Raw genomic sequence first — 16,195 nt, 5'->3', positions numbered from 1 at the left:
GCTGCCAGGGCATTAGTGCTGCTTTCTTTTTTATTTTTTTTCTGAGACTGAGTCTTGCTCTGTCACCTAGGCTGGAGTGCAATGGAGTGATCTTGGCTCACTGCATCCTCCGCCTTCTGGGTTCAAGTGATTCTCCTGCCTCAGCCTCCCAAGTAGCTGGGATTACAGGTGCACATCACCACACCCAGCTAATTTTTGTGTTTTTAGTAGAGACGGGGTTTCATCATGTTGGCCAGGCTGGTCTCAAACTCCTGACCTCAAGTGATCTGCCTGCCTCTGCCTCCCAAAGGGCTGGGATTACAGGCATGAGCCGATGCACCCGGCCTAGTGCTGATGTCAATTCAGTGGCAAGGACATAAAGCTTCATCGATATATGAGACCTGTGAAACTTGCACACGCCCTGCATTGATGGGCTCCTTACCCCCCTGTGGTTTCAGCCGTCAGTGAGGTCCTCGGTGCACCATCATAATCTCTTCTCACCCTTTCCATTTCTTCCTATGGCAGAGAATAGTCCAATGTTTTTCCATTTACCTGAAAACCCTTTCCATCTCTCTGCTCTCAGCCGATGATTTCACCCCAGATTTGTTCAAGAAAATTGAAGCCAAGAAGCAGGAACTTCGTCGTCATCCCCATTCTCTACCTCATTGTGGCAAAAGCCACTTCTTCAGAAGGCCCTTCCTGGCCCAACCTATCTAATATTGTCCCCGCATCATGCTCCCATGGCCTGGTTTTATTTTCTTCACAGTGCATACAATATCAGAAATTATCTCTATGGATCTGTTTGCTCACTTTTCCTTTGTCTGCCTTTCCTCTCCGAAAGTAAGTTCCATGAGAGCACAGACCTTGCCTGTCTTGGGCACTGCAGCGTCCATAGTCTCTAGCAGAGTAAATGCCTGGGACCTGGCATGGGCTCAAAAAGATAAATGAATGAGTGGATTCCCATGACTCCAGCCAGCACCCGTGACTCAATCTCCCTCTCTCCTCCTGACCATTCTACTGCCTGGATGTCCTCCCTCACACTTCCATCCTGAATGAATTGAACTTCTTCCCTTAAAGCTGCTTATTCCCCTTGGAGTTCACTGTCATCTAAGCAAAAATCTGAGCATCATCTTTGGCTCCTCCCTCCCCTCGTCCTGACTTACACTTGGTCCCGAGTCATATTGGCTTAACCTTGGGTATGTCTCTGGACTCTGTCCCCTACTCTGTTCACCTCCCATTCAGGCCACATTGTGGCTTGTGGGGACACTGGCAGGAGCTTCCTCGTTGACCTCCCAGCCTGCAGTGCTTCTACCCCATCAGGCCACTTTTCCCCACAGGAAAGGCATTGCACAGTTCAGTTTCTTTATACTTTTGATGGCTCCTACTGATTATAGAATCCATCCATCCATCCATCCATCCATCCATCCATCCATCCATCCGCTAATTACTGAGTGCCAACCTGGGCAGCACCATGCACAGGGCCGGGGTAGAGAGCTGAAAGCTCAAGCTTTGCTTTCATATCCATTTTCAATCTTGTAGGAGGGGAAGAAATAAACAACCCAAGTCACTCAAGTGTTACAGGCATTTTTTATTAATTTGTCAAATATTTATTGAGCTCTCACTAAGTGCCAAGCACTGTAGGTGCTGGGGATATGGCAGTCGATAAAACAAAGTCCCTGCCTTCATGGAGCCCGCAGTCCAGTGGAGGAGGCCGACACTGACCAAAAACACAAGTGTAAATGCTGTGGCAGAAAATAAAGCAAAGTAGGGACACGTATGTGTGGGTTTGTCCCCTTGTAGGGGGTGCGAGAGGTGGCTTCACTGAGAAGGTGGTGATTGAGCAGAGACCTGCTGGATGGGAGGGAGAGGCATTTGTCGGGAGGAGAAGCAGTCCATGAAGAGGGAGCAGGTGATGCCCTGTGCCCAGGCCCTGAGCTGGGTGTGAGCCCTGGGGAGTGTGTATGGGGGTGGGTGGGATGCAAAGGAGGGGAGGGATCAATTCTCTCTGGAGGGACCAGGGCGCACTTACCAGAGGAGGATGCCAGACTCCCTAGACCAACATTCACATTTCAGCCTCCCATTCCACCACCTTTTGGCAGACTCTGAGCTTGAATCACATCCCACCATGGGCTTCCCACCTCCAGGCCTTTGCTTCTGTGACCTTCTCTGCCAGGACTTCTTCCCCGACCCCCAGGTCTCTACTTGATGAGCTCTTCCAGTGTCTATGCACACTTCAAGGCCCGAGACTTCTTTCTAGGCAGAACAGCTGCCCCTAGTGCTTAATTCCTGCCAGCAGAACATTTGCACAGTGGCATAGTGACTTCTGGTGGGCTGTGTCTATGCTAGCCACTCTCACCTGCTGGAGTTCCTTGAGTAAAGGAATTGAGCCTTAGCTATCTCTGGTCTGCTGGGCACACAGTAGGTGGCTCAATGCACATTCAAAACAAATGCACTGGAAAACAGCTTGTTTTCTTACCAGACCACTCTATATAGGCATGTGGGCAGACACACGTGCCCTTTTCTACACATCGGTTGCTTTTTTTTTTTTTTTTTTTAGAATCCTACATTTCCCAATGAAAGCAAGAGGGTCATGAAATTAATTTGTCACTCTGGTGCCAGCTTCAATCAGCTTACTCATGACCTCAGAAGGAGTTTTTAAACATGTGTTTCTCATCTATGTGCTAATTTCTCTTCCCTTTCTCGGTAATCTTCTCTTCCCCTGAAACTTGTGGGTGGTAATTGCCTTCAGGTCGGTGGCACCTGCAACTCCTCCTGAGTCCACTGAGCACACAGTTTCCAGCTTTGGGCCGGGGAGGAGAGGAGGTGGTCCCTGACTTGGGAAGGGTGAGAAAAAGTTAAAATGAAATGAGATTTCTTTGTCTTTTGAAATTCATTAGAGCTTATTTATTTGCTTGAGAAAGGCCTGGGGATACACACACACACACACACACACACACACACACATATATATATACACACACACACACACACATATATGTATACACACACATATATATATATATATATATATATATATATATATATATATATAAATGGAATAATATATCTGGAAGGAGATTCTGTAATTTTTCCTCCCTAATGGGGATATAAAAATATTTCCAGGTGTCCTAGGATTAATTTAATTCAACAAATACTTATTGTTGAATTAGTCACACTATTCTGGGTGCTAGACATAGAGCAGTGAACAAATTGGGCAAAATCCTTGCCTTCATGGAGCTTGCATTCTAGTGGGGGCACCCAGATGATAATGTAACTAAGTAAAGAAGTGAGATGGTGAGAAGTTTATGGAGGTAACTAAAATGGGGAGTTGGGACCAGGAGTGTTGGGGGAAAAGCTCCCTGAGAAGCAACATTTGAGGGTCATCCAGGAGAAGAGGATTCAAGTCAGAGGGAACAGCAGGTGCAAAGGTCCAGAGGTGGAGGCATGGCTGATGTTTTGAAGAACAGCAAGGGAAGCCATGTGGCTGGTGCAGAGTGAGAGGGAGTGGGAGGAATAGGAGCACTTTGGCTTATCCTTGGAGTTGGGACCTACCAGAAGGTTTTACAGCATCACTCTGGCTGCTGAGTTGAGAGTAGATGGAGGAGGCAGTGACTTGGACCACGTGGTAACAGCAAAGGTGGTGAGAGGTAGCTGATTCTGAGTACATTTTGAAGGTAGAGATGATGGGATTAAGATGGAATTGAAAGTAGGATGTGACAACAAGAGAGGCATCCATTTGGCCTGAGCAAGTGGAAGATGAGACGGTGGATTGTTGTGATGGTGAGGACTGTGAGGGCAGCAGGTGTGTGTGGGCTCCACTTCGTCTGGAAGGCTTGAGAGGCCAATTCAACTTCCAGGTGGAAATGGCCAAGAGCAGGTGCATTGTTGATAGCATGCAGGGGGGGTTAGGGAACTGTCCAGTGGGCCTCACTGGGACCTGGATGCAAACTGGTTGCTATAAAGGCACAGGGAACTAACTCAGGTCGTGTGCCACTGAGCTCCCATTCTTAAAGCACATTGGGATTCAATTCAAGAAATGTTTATTAGCTCTAATTACATGGGAGGCATTGTGCTAGGTGATGAGGATATTTCAGAAAAGTAGGGCTGAAGCGGTTTGCCTTCTTAGAGCTTACAGTCTATGGGTGAAAGCATATAATACATACTTTTTTGTTAGAACAATGGTAAATCCACAAGTAATATAGAACATGCTGTATTTTGATGAATGCATTAAAACCTTATGACACCATTTCCATTATTGTGATAAAGTAAGAAAAATTGAAAATGCTGTTTTTCCAAATTCTTTCCTTCTTTCTTTCTTTCTTTCTTTCTTTCTTTCTTTCTTTCTTTCTTTCTTTCTTTCTTTCTTTCTTTCTCTTTCTTTCTTTCTCTCTCTTTCTTCTTTCTCTCTCTCTTTCTTTCTTTTCTTTCTCTCTTTCTTTTGCTAAGAAAGGTGATTTGGAAGTTCTCGTGCACCAAATGTAGTCTTTGTTAGGATTAGCCAAACATGGCTAAATGTTTTCCATGATCAAGCACTCACATAGGAGGTCACTGGTTATATTAGCAAGGTGTATAAGTTATCTCTGGCAGGGAAGTTTTGTTTTTTAAAACTGCTACAATCATGTTTGCTAGCAAAATGACCAAATTCACCCTCAAAAGTGGGTGAGAAACATACTCAACATATTGAGAGAGAATATACACAACTTAAGGAGAGCTAGGGGTCTGAATTAGCGGTGAGTACATACAATACTAAGCAAATGAATTAAATAAGACAATTATTAATTCCAGGAATGCAAGTTATCCAGTGGAGGAAATGTAACTAGAGAATACTACATGTCACAGTTCTGAATAGAGCTTACATAATCATAGCAATAAAAACGGTAATCATTGAGAAATAAAAATATATATTCACCAGTACATACATACACAGAGTGAGCGAGAGAGGGAGGGAGGAAGGAGACAGACAGATAGATGATAGATAGTAAGCAGGCAGGCAGACAGATGGAGCATAGGGGGATGGAGAGAAAGGAAGTGTGTATGTGTCTGTGTGTGTGTGTGTGTGTGTGTGTGTGTGTGTGTGTGTGTGTATAGTGAGAACAGATAAGAAAGCACAGGCTACAAAAAGGGTAAATCCACTCTTTCCTACTTGGGGAAGCCTAAAACTGAAAAATCAAGAAACAACAGTTAAAAACATGTTATTTAGAGATGTGTAGGTAAATATCACAATCTTCAATTAAAAGAATTAAGCTGCCGGGCGTGGTGGCTCATGCCTGTAATCCCAGCACTTTGGGAGGCTGAGGTGGGTGGATTACCTGAGGCTAGGAGTTCGAGACCAGCCTGGCCAACATGGTGAAACCCCATCTCTAATAAAAATACAAAAATTAGCTGTGCATGGTGGTGCACGCCTGTAATCTCAGCTACTCGGGAGGCTGAGGCAGGAGAATTGCTTGAAACCAGGAGGTGGAGGTTTGTGGTGAGCCAAGATTGTGCCATTGCACTCCAGCCTTGGCGACAGAGTGAGACTCTTTCTCAGAAAAAAAGAAAAAGAAAAAGAAAAAGAATTAAGCTGCAGTGGACCACTATTTTGTATAACAAGCCTTATAACACGAAATTTAAGATGTTAATAAAGGGCCGGGTGTGGTGGCTCATGACTATAATCCCAGCACTTTGGGAGGCTGAGGTGGTAGGATCGCTTGAGCATAGGAGTTCAAGCATAGCCTCGGCAACATAGTGAGACATTGTCTCTACAAAAAGTAAAACAAAATAAGACAGGCATGTTGGCTTGTGCCTGTAGTCCTAGCTACTTGGGAGGCTGAGGTGGGAGGATCACTTGAGCCTGGGAGGTGGACATTGTAGTGAGCTATGATTGTGCCACTGCATTCTAGCCTGGGCAACAGGGTGAGACCCTGTCTCAAAAACAAAACAAAACAAAACAAAAGATGTTAATAAAAATAAAAGTGAAATTCAAGCAAATGAAAAAAAGTGGGGAGAACTTTGGTCAACATCGCAGCTAAGCTTGTAAAAATTCTGAATGTGGTCCCAGGTGGGCCTGCCACAGTGAAGTCTGGGTACCCTTTCCTCTGCCACTGTTTACTTATGTTTACTTACATGGTGGGCTTACACCATTTCTGTTTTTTTTTTTTTTTGTCAGTTAAATGGGGAACTGGATTGGGATGGGTAGTTGGGTGGTATTCTAGCTCTTGGCACTAGATCATGTCTTTCAGGTTTAAATTATTTGGGACAAGATCCCAGGTGATTCAGGAATGTCTTGGTGAATATACCCCTGGCCCTAAATCTGGGAGGGATGGGAGATAACATTTATAGTTGGCTCCTTCTCTAGCATGAAAACTCTGTGAAGGTAGCAATTTGGTCTTGTTCACTGCTGAGTCCCCAGCATCTGGCTCCGTATTTGCTGGGGGAATGAGTGAACTGTGACCCTCGCCCCCAGTAGTCAAGCTGTTCTACCTCTACAGCAAACAGCTGACTTTGAGCGGAGGTGTGTGGGAGCATTGCTCAGGCCCACCCGCTCTGTCCCCTGGGCCAGGGTAAGGTCGAAGAGGGATGGCCTGGGCACTGGAATGTACAAATAGATACAACACGTGATTCCAGAAGGTTAGGGGGGAATGGTGTGGGGGGGGGGGGGGAGGAAGCTGCAGAGAACCAATGAAGTTAAACTGTGATAGATAGTCAAAGAAGAGAGGAAGCCAAGGGTGGTAGAAACCCCAGGTAGAAATGCTGCCAGCTGGGTGCTTAGCTTAGCTTTGGGGAAATGTTGCTTCCCTGTTGGCCTTGAAAGGAGTTCCTTTTTTACTGTATAGTATGGAAAATTTCAAACCTATGTAGTATCGTGAACACTCTTATACCCATCACCTAGCACCCAAATTGCTTCCACAACTTGCAACTCAGAGCCAGCGTTGTCTCATCTATAGCCTACTCCTACCCTCTCACACTAGAGATTACTTTGAAATAAATCTCAGACATCATTTTATCTGTAAATTATTTCAGTATGTATCTGCAAAAAATAAAGATTCTTTCTGGAAACCTAGTCACAATCTTATCTGAGTTAACAATAATTCCACAGTATTATTAAATATCCAGTTACTGTTTAAATATATATGTGTATATAGGTATGTGTGTGCATATATACATATACATATACACCCATATATAGTGTTATTTAGCAGTATTTTAAAAATGCCTTTGTTTTTATAGAAATGATGTATATTTGTTACTAAAAATTCAAGCAACACATAAAAGTAAAAAGATGAGAGCAAAATTATCACCCCAAATCCATTGGACGAACATAATTTCAGATACCTCTCCATGCAAATGTCCACACAGAACAAATAGAAGATGAATATGAATGCTGTCAGAAATACTTTGCATGTTCAAAAGGAATCTCTGAGTAGTATTTTAGACCTGAAGGGACACCTAAGGCTCTTTGGCTTTTGCATAAGGCAGGGCTAGACTGTAAACTCCTGGAGGGAAGGACCACGCCTTAGTTTTGTTTATACATTCCCCCACCCCCTATCTTAGTGCCTGGCACTCAGGCAGTCCACCAATAACTGTGGTTTGAATTGAAGGGGTCCCTAAGACATCAATCATCTGATGGAATACGATGGCCCACAAGTTGAAATCACTTGCTAAGATCCCACAGCTAGTCAGGGTGCCTGTGGGGCTGGAGGCAGTTCTCCTGAGTCCTACTTCCCTGCTCTCTCTGTAGCCTGTGGGATTTAGCCATATAGCAGAGTGGGTAAGTGCACAAGCCTGGAGTTGGACACACCTGGGTTTTTTTTTTTTTTTTTGAGATAGAGTCTTAACTCTGTCACCCAGGCTGGAGTGCAGTGGTGTGATATTGGCTCACTGCAACCTCCGCCTCCCAGGCTCAAGCAATCGTCCCACCTTAGCCTCCTGAGTAGATGGGACCACATGTGTATGCCACCATACCTGGCTAATTTGTTTCATATTTTTGGTAGAGATGGGGTTTCGCCATGTTGCCCAGGCTAGTCTTGAACTCCTGGCCTCAAGTAATCCGCCTGCCTGAGCCTCCCAAAGTCCTGGGATTACAGGCATGAGCCACTGCACCTGGCCTACACCTGGGTTTGATTTTGCTCTGAACGTTTTCTATGACTTAGCAGCTATGTGACTTTTCTCACCCACACAGTTTCCCTACCTCAAAGAGATGTTGCAAGGAGTAAATGAAATCATGCATAACGAACTCCTTGCAGGCCAGGCGTGGTGGCTCACGCCTGTAATCCCAGCACTTTGAGAGGCTGAGGTGGGCGGATCACAGGGTCAAGAGATTGAGACCATCCTGGCCAACATGGTGAAACGCCGTCTCTACTAAAAATACAAAAAAATTAGCTGGGCATGGTGGCGTGTGCCTGTAGTCCCAGCTGCTCGGGAGGCTGAGGCAGGAGAATTGCTTGAACCCAGGAGGCGGAGGTTGCAGTGAGCCGAGATTGCGCCCCTGCACTCCAACCTGGTGACAGAGTGAGACTCCATCTCAAAAACAAACAAACAAACAAACAAAAAAACTCATTGCCTACTTCCTAGCATGTACTAGGTGCCAAATAAATGTTAATTGTAGTTATTATTATTTGTAATAATAGCAGCAGCAGTAGTAATAGTATCACTATTTTCTTAATCTTCGGGGATTATCAATTGAAACTCAAAGGAAGTTCAAACCCTCCCTCCCCGACCAGTTCCTAGTTGCAGATGGAACCATGTTTAAACTTTTGCTTTTTAAGTAAGTTTTTAACAAGCTTTTTAATAAGTTTATAACTTTTGCTTATTATTTCATGTGGGAATTCTTTTCCCCCATAAAATCATTTTTCCTCAGTCAGCAGCTGATTGTGTCAGCTTCTGATTGGCCATTCACATTTGGTGGTCAAGGTTTGTGTGTCTTCTCTCCATACATGGTTTAGAGGTGCTGCCTTGACAAGAGCTTAGCAAATAGTTATTCTAAGCTCTTCAAATAGAAACTCTGAGCAAAGGGCTCGGTGCAAGACGTCTGGCCTTCCTGGTCGCCCCTTTAGTCTGCTGATTCAGCAGCTCTTCCAGGGACCTCCTCCAGGCCCTTGGTCTGTCAGGTCACTAATGGAATCTGCTGGAAGCAAATTAACTCATGAAAAAAGGGTAAACAAATCACTCCAGCTCTTGGTGTCTGCCCCAGGATGGCTGGCACTTCCCGGTGAACTCCTAAGTCCTCGCCCCACATTTCATACCCCCGCAGGGGAGGCCCACTTCCTCTTGCACAGTTACTGAGGGGCACAGGGGCCGCGCTGGACTCTCAGCCCCTCCGCACAGAGCTATATAGCCTGCGCAGGTGAAAAGGCCATCTGCCTGTCCTCCTGTGCTTCACGCATTATTCATACTTCTGGATTTGGGTTGGCTTAACTACTTGCTCTAGTCAGGCCTGGGAAAATGGGGGCAGATGGAGGAGGAAACAGCTATGCTCTTAAGCCAGGGCATGGGCTCTTCTTCCCTGGTTAAATGTGTGCTCTTTTCAAAATATTATCTCCTGTGGGTGGGATCCATGCTCCAGCGGGTCCTTCTAGCCCCCATGCATTCTTGGAATGCAGTTTCCCTTCCTAGATCTGTGTAGGGTTTGGGGGACCTTCACAGAGCAGGCTGAGAAATGGCTTGTTTCCAGAAGTACCAGCACCCCACTTCCTCTTCCTTTTTTCACCCAACCCCTCTCATCTTCCAAAAGGTGCCTCATGGATCCCTGAGTAAATTGACAATGTTCTGGCTGGGAGTCCTGCTGGCTGCAAGATGGATGATCAGAAAGGAAGGAAAGATGTTCTCCTGTTTTAGAGGAGAAAAGGATTTTGTGGGGCTGGGGAACCCACCACAGCATCCTGTGATACCCTCAGAACAGAATTGGAGTAGTGGAATTAAGGTGGGGCTGTGACTGATACTGTGTCTGGGGTGGAAAGAACCATAGACATCCTCCTCCTCCTTGTGTAGTTGGAGTAAGTCCAAAGAAGTGCCCTGCCCAAAGCTATTGCATGAAACAGCTCTGGGAAAGCCCAAAGCACAGGCCAGGCCACAGAAATGTTTAATGAGGCCACAGTCATTCAACACTTGTTTCTTTCTTTCTTTACAATTCACCCAGCTCCTCGGTAAGCAGTTGTTGATCTAGATTCTACAACCTAAGTTTCCTGACATTCCCTGCCCACTAATATAATTTATATCTGAGTACAGGGATTGTGATGTGGGGCTCTGCTGATCACTCATGCCTCAAGCCAATGAAAGCCCGAAAGGTATGAGTTCTCAGCTAAGAGTACCCTGATGGTAACCTTTCTCCTGTCCTGGTGAGCTAGGTTTGGAAGCGTTGCTTTGGATGGAACTTATATGTGGGTTACATACTGCCCCAGTAGAATCCTTTGCCTCCCCCACCATCCCCTTGGCCAGTGGGACTCTGAGGTTGGCTTGGTTAAAAGGCTCCCTATAAAACTAAGCTTCATAGAAGCAGGCTGAGACCATGGAGAGAACTCCAGGCTGGAATGGGGAAGGCATGACAAGGCGTTCTATGTCTTCCACCAGGTGGTTGAACCTTCTAGACACATTCTGGGAAGGTCTTTACAGACCAATATCTCTGGAATACATTTCAATGCACTAAACAGACCAATGCTTCTTCTACAGACCATGCTGTCCTGGGTAGATCACCACTCTGTGCCTTAGTTACTTTTTCTGTAAATTGGAGCCACTCATAATGGGCTACTATCTCTCCAGGAATACAGATGAGATGGTACATGTGAAATCTCTTTTGAAAAGAAGGTATAGCATGGGCTCAATTCCTAATTCCCTCATTCCTACTGATTTTTAAAAATTGTCATGGCAAATAAACCATTGGAGGTTTCATTTCGTTCATCTCACAGATAAAAATGTAGACAGGTAAGCGTAGGTCATCCCTGCTTAGTAAATAGGCGTGATCGTCACCGGGCCAGTCAGTGACAGAGCTGCAGAAGCTGGGCCCTAGGCCTCTCAGTTTGGTCTCTCCACCCCTCCTACCTGTTACTTTTTCATATTCCATATCAAAGTCTCATTCTTTCTTTCAAGTCCTATGTAGTCTGGGCTCTGATCATCCGGGGACTGCACAAGTCTTATTAATATTAAAGGTGAGGATTTTCTTAGCCTACTTCCCTTCGTTTCTAAATTAGTCTTGGAAAGGAGAGGGCAAAAGTAGAATCAGAAGGACAACTATGCCCTAAAAGGAAAGCATTCTGGTTTGTCGCAAATTTGGGCTCCCTCTGGTGACTTTAAGGATTGTGCTGAGTGAAGTGTGGGCAGTAAGTAACTGACTAGCTGCAGAACTTCTGTGACTGTTAGAGGGTTTTGATTTCAGGGCCAGGCTGAAATTGACCATTTGATCCTGCTGCCTAGCTCTGGCAAACACTAGGAGTTCAAGAGACCCAGGATGTATATTTTCACTCCTTTCGAATTCCAAGCCACTGATTTGCTGATGACAACTATAGCTATATTCATGAGAAAAACAGCTGTAAGTGAACAATTTTGGAAACAAATTGGATTTTCTTATCAGCTTATCACTTCAACCTGTTTTTATTTTATTTCTAATTACTTTATGACTGGAAAGGGCCCTTTGAGGTCAGGTCTCCATTTCCTGAGTTTCTAACTGAAATATTCTCTAAACAAATACTTAAATGACTGAAGAAGTTGATGGCCCATGAAAAATTCATTCTTTAAGAGAATAAAAGATGATTTGTTTTTTCTTTTTTTTTGACACAGGATTTCACTCTATCACCCAGGCTGGAGTAGAGTAGAGAGAGTAGAGTGTGATCTCGGCTCACTGCAACCTCCACCTCCCGGGTTCAAGCAATTCTCCTGCCTCAGCCTCAAGAGTAGCTGGGACTATAGCATGCACTACCTTGCCTGGCTAATTTTTGTATTTTTAGTAGAGACAGGGTTTCACCATGTTGGCCAGGCTGGTCTCGAACTCCTGACCCCAAGTGATCCGCCCATCTTGGCCTCCCAAAGTGCTGGGATTACAGGTGTGAGGCACTGCGCCTGGCCAAAAAGATGACTTTAATAACAGGAGAGATTCCAGTCTATTGGTTGGTTTCATGAGTTTATGTGTTCTGGACTTTCTGGTGTTTCTCAAGTCATCGTTAAGGAAGTCAAGTCAAGGAGCCTGAGTTGTTTCCCAGATCTTGGAGGTTTGTATGTCAGTATCCTGCCAAATACAGCTTCAACCTTTTCTTCTGGTAAGTGGGTTTGAAGATATTGTCCTTTCTTGACGTGGTACATTGTAGATGGTGACATGAGGGTTGGCAGTACTGCAGTGAAAGTTTGCAATTATTTTGTGTATGTAAAAAAGGTAGCAGGCCGGGCATGGTGGCTCATGCCTGTAATCCCAGGTCTTTGGGAGCCTAAGGCAGGCAGATCACAAGGTCAGGAGTTTGAGACCATCCTGGCCAACATAGTGAAACCCCGTCTCTACTAAAAATTAGCCAGGCATGGTGGTCCGCGCCTGTAGTACCAGCTACTTGGGAGGCTGAGGCAGGAGAATCACTTGAATCTGGGAGGCAGAGGTTGTGTTGAGCCAAGATCGTGCCACTGCACTGCAGCCTGGTTAATAGAGCAAGCTTCTATCTCAAAAAAAAAAAAAAAAAAAAAAAGGCAGCAAGCTATTTCTAAATTCTACTGGCTTACTTTGCACAGGCATGGGGACAAAATACCACACCTGGGGAAAAAATAGATGATCTTAGAGTAACTTTTTCATTTTGTGATTTGAAACATTTAAAAAGCAACATGGTGGCTAGTCTGAGGGTAGTGAGTTATCTCAATTGATTGTTCACAGTTACAGATTGAACTCCTTGTTCTTTCCTTCCCCCTTTCTCACTGCTGCTCTTGACTAGTCTTAAAAAAAAAAACAACAACATGCTGATTGTAAACAATGCACAGTAAAGAACATAAAACAAGAAAAAAAGAGGTTTTCTCTCTGTCTGTCCATTCTGTTCCCCAAAGCTAAGGAGTTTTTGTAAATCCTTCCAGATATTTTCTATGCCTCAGCAAGCATGCATACACACACACACACATACACACACACACACGCAAGGCTATGGCAGAATAGTTGTTGGTAGTTTAATTAAAAAAAAATCAGCTGTAGGGTAATTTTCTTTATTTCTTTGACTATTGGTAAATTGAGAGAACTCCCATTCAGATTCTTTAGAAAAGTCCTTTCTATAAACACTTAAATGTCTCCAATAAACCTATAACTTGCATGTGGCACGGGCTCTGTTTATTGATGCAAACAGTATGTATGTAGTGTGTGGCAAAGAAAGTTATTCTAAGTGTTAAAATGCAGGCTAAAAACATTCCATGTAGAAATCGGTGTGTAAGGCAGTCAACACGGACGATGTGAGTGGGGAAAAAATAGTGGGCTGTTTTTATAACGTTTGACCAATGACATACAAGTTTTCCAGGAATCTCAGAGCACAATATTAAAGGTCGAATAAATGTATAACGTGAGAATGTGTGACGTTTATTGCCAATCATGGCGACAGGCTGTGATCAGAGTGTGAGCCGTAGAAAGTTCTGGATTGGTTCTCCTAAGATGGAAAGAGCAGCCAGGCAGGGCAGTGCCTCTGTTTACACACACCGATCCCACCCCTCTCCCCATTTCAGGCAAGGGGGTGTGAGTGTGTTGGGGGCGGTTACCAGAACAGACTCAGTGTGGCAAATTGCATCCAGACTTCAATTTTTCCTCCTCCCACAGACTCCTACGGGTTGTTTTACTAAAGAAGGGTTTTTGAGCACAAGTCCAGTTGTCTTAACTCTGGTGCCCGGCTGGGTACACACGGCTGTACTTAGGCCTCCAACTTTTTTCACTCCGTGGTCTCCTAGGGGATGGGGCAGTGGGAAGCCTTGAGGGGCGCACCCAAGAGCAGCGGCTTCTCCACCACCTCTCCCTGCCCGGCTTCTGCAGGTTCATTCTTCTCCTGCAACTTGACTCTCTCAGGAGAACCAGAACTGGGGCTGAAAGCCCGGTGCTCCACTTTCTCCTCTCCTCTTCAACTTCCTGCCTTCCCTTCACCTACCTGCGGCACCTCTTAGCTTCTGCGTCTCCAAAAGGGATAATGTTCTTCTTGAAAGCGTCTTTTGAGGATTAATTGATGTTTGCTCTATGCTTTGAAGAGAGAGAGAATCCCATCAAGTGGCTCTGCTGTCCTCAAAGCTCGCCATGGTTCCAGCTGGTGGCGGGCCTGGCCAATCGGGAGGCTGGGCGAGCTGTCCTCCCATTGGCCGCCTTTCTGGGCATATCGGTTGCCTACCCGTTGCCCGTGGTAGGAGGGCGATTACCCACACGGGGAGGAACAGATCCTCGAGTGGACATTTTGTACATTGTACATTTTTCACTTGAAGAAGTATCTGCATCAAAATACTCATCCCTCGGGAAGTTAGTTTGTGGCCATCTGTGACATTTTCTCATTTGTAAATTGTTCTTTCCTGTCTTTAAAAAAAAGCTTTATCCGTGTAGGAGCAAGAGTAGTTATAATCTGCCACCTCTCAAAGAAGTCCCTTTGCCAGGCCATTTATATGTTAATTGCTTGTGGTTTGGGGAGGAAAAGGATGTTACCTGCTTCATGATAAGCATTTTCATCTCAATGAATTCTTTGTTAGAGTTGTTTAATCAAAGAAATGGAAACGGCAACCTACTTACTGGAAAGATCCAGATAGTGCCGTGTGAGTTAAGAACCTGAGGGCTCTATGGAGAAGATGGATAAGAAAAAGAGAAAAAGGCTTGTTTTGAGGACAGAGCAAACAGGGATTAAGAAAAATATTAGTCAAAGACATTCTTAGGCTGGAAGGCAAAGCCAGCCAAGCACCCTGGGGTCCTCTTCAGAGTCCTGGGATAGGCTGATGAGGGATTGAGGACATAGTTCTGACCTCACCAATGGGACGTTCAAAGGGGAGCGTTCATTTCCCGGCATTCTCTAGCACCTGGTCCTCATAAATTCTCCCAAGCACTTAGGAACTTGTTTCTCAGCACAGGTCTTTAGAGACCATTGCTCCCCTCTTCTAAGTTATATTCCTGGCTTCTTGAAAAGTTGAAAGATCTGGCAACCCTGAATCTTCATTCCACTATGGCAACCATCAGCAGCTGCTGCCCCTTTAGATGGGGCAGTGGGACTGATACTTTCTGGTTCTCTAACTGGGGCAAATGTTGACTTCTCACCTGTCTGGGAAGTTAATGAGAAGAAAGAGTGTTAATCTAGAAGCACATGCATGAGCGAGTTCACATGGGTACACACATGCGCGTGCGCACACACACACACATGCACACATGCACACACGCCCCACCAGTATTTAGGTCCAGGGGAGATTAGCCTTATTGAGAGGTCACCCCTCAGCAGCTTCAGGGTGTATAATCTGAACCACAGATTTGAAAAGAGTTAATCTTGGGGTGACGTGAGGAGAATCAGATTGTCATGGCACAAAAGATGTTTGTGACCTGTGTGTTGAAAGAATGAGGTGTCTCTCTGGCATGCCCAAGGCATTGGGGCAGCCACATGGATGAGTGCAGTGACTGAACAGAGCAGGGGCGGGGACATCTGGGAGCTGGATAAATATTGTCTAATGATTGCCAGCCCTGGATTTGCTGATGAACTCACTTGGAGATCTGGGGGACTAATTTCTCTTTGCCTTTTCTCAGTTTGCTCATCGGCAAAATGGAGGCACTGCTGTGGGCGTGTCAAACTCCAATGCCTCTGGGGGCTAGTCAGGCCATGTAAACCTGTAGGAGACGAAGAATAGGGAGTTGGTGGGAGGTGGGGGTTGGGGGACTGTACTGTGGTCAACTGGGAAGTTTATGCCCTTCCAGGGAGGATGTTCACATTCAACCCAAGCCATTTGCCACATGGGGAGGTGAGCCCAGTGTTGTCACGGCTCCTGATTTTCTGAGAGAAGTTTGAAATTTGCATTTTTATATGACCTCTAATGACTTTAAACCTAGCTAATTTTTTTTTTAGATGGAGTTTCTCTCTGTCGCCTAGGCAGGAGTGCAGTGGTATGATCTCGGCTCACTGCAACCTCCACCTCCTGGGTTCAAGCGATTCTTCAGCCTCAGCCTCCCAAGGAGCTGGGATTACAGGCATATGACACCATGCCTGGCTAATTTTGTATTTTTTAAGTAAAGATGTGGTTTCACCATGTTGGTCAGGCTGGTCTTGAACTCCTGACCTCAGGTGAT

At 45.2% G+C, this 16,195-nt stretch overlaps 1 protein-coding gene across 4 annotated transcripts in view, besides 3 other annotated features; it reads left to right on the top strand.

Moving 5' to 3' along the window:
• DPF3 (double PHD fingers 3) overlaps nt 1-16,195 on the top strand; it is a 285,068-nt gene that overhangs the window by 28,012 nt on the left and 240,861 nt on the right. The gene's annotated exons all lie outside the window — the stretch shown is intronic.
• Nucleotides 1,227-1,410: a silencer, noted in NCBI's record as "fragment chr14:73331388-73331571 (GRCh37/hg19 assembly coordinates)". NCBI's record gives its function as "represses an EF-1alpha promoter that drives an FKBP-Casp9 reporter gene in an ReSE screen in phorbol 12-myristate 13-acetate-treated (for megakaryocytic differentiation) K562 erythroleukemia cells {active_cell/tissue: K562(+PMA)}" and the evidence as "EXISTENCE:reporter gene assay evidence [ECO:0000049][PMID:32094911]".
• Nucleotides 2,544-2,683: an enhancer, noted in NCBI's record as "active region_8689". NCBI's record gives its function as "activates an Ori minimal core promoter by ATAC-STARR-seq in GM12878 lymphoblastoid cells {active_cell/tissue: GM12878}" and the evidence as "EXISTENCE:reporter gene assay evidence [ECO:0000049][PMID:35858748]".
• Nucleotides 13,574-14,151: an enhancer, noted in NCBI's record as "H3K4me1 hESC enhancer chr14:73318647-73319224 (GRCh37/hg19 assembly coordinates)". NCBI's record gives its function as "activates a minimal SCP1, AML or CMV promoter by ChIP-STARR-seq in naive and primed H9 embryonic stem cells {active_cell/tissue: H9 hESC(naive and primed)}" and the evidence as "EXISTENCE:reporter gene assay evidence [ECO:0000049][PMID:30033119]".

The sequence above is a fragment of the Homo sapiens genome, chromosome 14 (genome assembly GCF_000001405.40).
Source record: "Homo sapiens chromosome 14, GRCh38.p14 Primary Assembly".
Taxonomy (NCBI): Eukaryota; Metazoa; Chordata; class Mammalia; order Primates; family Hominidae; genus Homo; species Homo sapiens.
This window is presented reverse-complemented; position numbering and strand designations above follow the sequence as displayed.